This window comes from Homo sapiens, chromosome 1 (genome assembly GCF_000001405.40).
Source record: "Homo sapiens chromosome 1, GRCh38.p14 Primary Assembly".
In the NCBI taxonomy this organism is placed as follows: Eukaryota; Metazoa; Chordata; class Mammalia; order Primates; family Hominidae; genus Homo; species Homo sapiens.
In genome coordinates this window covers 17447866-17451826 of record NC_000001.11, presented here as the reverse complement: position 1 = coordinate 17451826, position 3961 = coordinate 17447866, and the positions used below count along the sequence as shown (strand labels likewise).

Below are 3961 nucleotides of genomic sequence, written 5' to 3'. Positions count from 1 at the left end.
AGGTTTGGTAAGGAATGCACTCTTTTGAAAAATGCGTGCATAATAACAGTGATTTAAACCGCCGAGAAGATGAAAAATAATGAGTGGTTTCGTTGTCAGAGTGGCAGGGACTAAGCCACAGCCTCGAGGGCGTGGACACATGGTTCCCCTCCATTCGATTCAGACTTGGAGACAGCTCAGCTTCCCTGGGTCTTAGTTTTCTCATTCCTCAAAGGAAGGATTGGATTCCAGCTAAAAATGATACTTTGCAGGGCAACTAGTGGACACAGAAATGACTGTCTTGGCCCCATGCAGTGGCTCACACCTGTAATCCCAGCACTTTGGAAGGCCGAGGCCGGTGGATCACGAGGTCAGGAGTTCAAGACCAGTCTGGCCAAGATAGTGAAACCCCATCTCTACTAAAAATACAAAAATTAGCCAGGTGTGGTGGTGGGCACCTGTAGTCCCACCTACTCGGGAGGCTGAGGCAAAGAACTGCTTGAATCTGGAAGGTGGAGGTTGCAGTGGACCGAGATCACGCCACTGCACTCCAGCTTGGGCGACAGAGCGAGACTCCATCTCAAAAAAAAGACTCTTTCCTACATATAGGCCAAGATCAGGCTCCCACCAGCGAGGTACATCCTCCTTTGGTGCTGACTTCCTGCTTCCTGAGCCCCATAATCCTGCCACTGTCTGATGACGAGGTCGCACACTTGGCAACACTTTTTCTACTTTTTTTAAATTTTTTTGAGACAGGGTCTCATTCTGCCGCTCAGGCTGGAGTGCAGTGGCGCGAGCATAACTCATTCCACCTTCTGGGCTCCAGTGAGCCCCCTGCCTCAATCTCTTTAGTAGCTGGGGCTGCAGATGCACACCATTATGCCCAGCTAATTTTTTTTTTTTTTTTTTTTTTTTTTTTTTTTTTTTTTTTGAGACTGAGTCTTGCTCTGTAGCCCAGGCTGGAGTGCAATGGTGTGATCTCGGCTCACTGCAACCTCCGCCTCCCAGGTTCAAGCAATTCTCCTGCCTCAGCCTCCTGAGTAGCTGGGATTACAGGCACCTGCCACCATGCCCAGCTAATTTTTGTATTTTTAGTAGAGACGGGGTTTCACCATGTTGGCCAGGCTGGTCTCAAACTCCTGACCTCAGGTGATCCGCCCACCTCGGCCTCCCAAAGTGCTGGGATTACAGGCGTGAGCTACCGCGCCCAGCCTGCCCAGCTAATTTTTAAATTTTATGTAGAGACAGGATCTCCCTACGCTGCCCAGGCTGGTCTCAAACTCCCAGACTCAAGCAATCCTCCCACCTTGGTCTCCCAAAGTATTGGGATTACAGGCGTGAGCCCCAGTGCTCCGCCTGGTAACACTTTCAAAGGCAAAAGGCTTTCTGTGGATTGGGACCCAACCTGTGTAATTCAATGCATGCCTTCAAGCAGGCTTGCTTTCTTGTACACTACCCAACTTTCCTTCATCATGGATTTTTCTAGACAGTCAGACGCCATGGTCCATCGTAGACTGGAGAACATCAGAGTTGGGAGGAGCCAGAAGCATCAAATCCTATTCCTCAAGCCAAGGTGGTTTGTGGAACCATCTTCCTCATTTTTGCTAGAGCTATGCAACACCTGAGTAAATGTCTTTCTTTAAATAAAAACATTTTCTTTTTTTTTTTTTTTTTGTTGAGACAGAGTCTCACTCTGTCATCCAGGCTGGATTGCAGCGGTGACAACTCAGCTCACTGTAACTTCCACCTCCTGGATTCAAGTGATTCTCCTGCCTCAGCCTCCTGAGTAGCTGGGATTACAGGCATGTACCACCATGCCCAGCTAATTTTTGTTTATTTAGTAGAGACGGAGTTTCATCATGTTGGCCAGGCTGGTCTCAAACTCCTGACCTTAAGTGATCCACCCACCTTGGCCTCCCAAAGTGCTGGGATTACAGGTGTGAGCCACTGTTATCTGGCCCTCTTTTATTTTTTTCTAAGTTCACATCAAATGGGTAATGTGCTGATGACTTAACAAGGTTTGAGGGAGGCACATTCAACACATGAACATGAAAACTCAATCACTTTTATGAACCACATAAGTGTTCATGATCCAAACACTTATTTTATTTATTTATTTATTTATTTATTTATTTATTTATTTATTTATTTATTATTTTTGAGATGGAGTCTCACTCTGTCGCCCAGGCTGGAATGCAGTGGTGCGTTCTCAGCTCACTGCAACCTCCACCTCCCAGGTTCAAGCGACTCTCCTGCCTCAGCCTCCCCAGTAGCTGAGATTACAGGCATGCACCACCACACCCAGCTAATTTTTGTATTTTTAGTAGAGACGGGGTTTCACCATGTTGGCCAGGCTGGTCTCGAATTCCTGACCTAAGGTTATCCACCCACCTCGGCCTCCCAAAGTGCTGGGATTACAGGTATGAGCCACCTCGCCTGGCCGAGATTGTCTTTTAAGATGATGCCTCTGCGTGACACTCAAAGCCCACAGAACCATGTGTTATTCACTCCAGAGGCCCTTCTGTTTCCAGCCTCAGAACCAAGACCTCTGTAGAGATAGCAAGATAAGGAGCAAGCAGGAGTCCTAACAGGAGGGGGTGTTTAAGGAGAGGCCAGTGGGGACAGTGGAATAAGTGTAGGAATGGCTTGGGTGGAACCCTGAAGTTAGCGGCAATAAATCTCAGCCTCTGAAAATAGATGAGGTGGGCCAGGCATGGTGGCTTACGCCTGTAATCCAAGCACTTTGGGAGGCCAAGGTGGGCGGATCACCTGAGGTTGGGAGTTCAAGACCAGCCTGACCAACATGGAGAGACCCCCATCTCTACTAAAAATACAAAATTAGCCTAGCGTGGTGGCGCATGCCTGTGGTCCCTGCTGCTCGGGAGGCTGAGGCAGGAGAATCGCTTGAACCCGAGAGGCGGAGGTTGTGGTGAGCTGAGATCACGCCATTGCACTCCAGCCTCAGCGACAGAGTGAGACTCCCATCTCACACACACACACACACACAAATTAACAACAACAAAAAGAAAATAGACAAGGTGGCTCATGCTTGTAATTCCAGTACTTTGGGAGGCCGAGGTGGGAGGATCACTTAAGTTCAGGAGTTCAAGATCAGCCTGGGCAACACAGCAAGCCCTCATCTCTTACTAAAAATGAAAAAATTAGCCGGGCACGGTAGCACACGCATATAGTCCCACCTACTCCGGAGGTTGAGGCTGGAGAATTGCTTGAGCCCAGGAGACTGAGGCTGCAGTCCAGCCTGACAGACAGAGTGAGACACCATCTCTAAAAAAAAAAAAAGAAAAGAAAAGAAAAAGAAAGAATGGGTTTTCAGATTCTGACTTCACCACTTCCACCTGTGAGACCGTGAACAAGTTTCTTAACTTATGTCTTGGCTTCCAGATCTATAAAATGGACTGTTAGGGGATGAATACGTCCCCCCGAGTCCATATGCTGAAGTGCAAACCACCAGTATCTCAGAATGTGGCTGTACTGTATTTGGAAATAGGGTCTCAAAAGAGGTAATAAAGTTAAAAAGAGGTCATTACACTGGCCCTAATGCAATGTGACCGGTATCCTTGTAAGAAAAGATGAGGACACAGACACACTCAGAGGGAAGATCACGTGAAGACAAGAGAGAAGGTGGCATTTACAAGCTATGGAGAGAGGCCACAGAAGAAACCAACCCTGCTGACCCCTTGGTCTTAGACTTACAGCCTCCAGAGCTGTGAGAAAATAAGGTTCTGATTTTAAGCCACCCTGTCTGTGGTACTTTGTTATGGCAGCCCTAGCAAACTAATACGGGGACCCACAAAAGTATCCGTGTTGCATGGATGTTATGAAGATGAAACCAGCTTTTTACGGGGAGTGCCTGGCCCAATGTCTGGCGCAAGGTAAGAGCTCAGTGCACACCAGAGAGAGCATCTTGGTTCTATTTAAGAACTCCTCTGCTTCATCTAGCTGACTCAGGCCACTTAGTGAA

General features: G+C 47.8%; 1 non-coding gene across 1 annotated transcript; it reads right to left on the bottom strand.

Moving 5' to 3' along the window:
* Positions 1–1963: 1963 nt before the first annotated feature.
* On the bottom strand, positions 1964–2064 carry LOC124904837 (small nucleolar RNA U13). The gene has a single exon (XR_007067433.1). It is a non-coding gene; the product is annotated as a small nucleolar RNA U13 (small nucleolar RNA).
* Positions 2065–3961: the final 1897 nt, after the last annotated feature.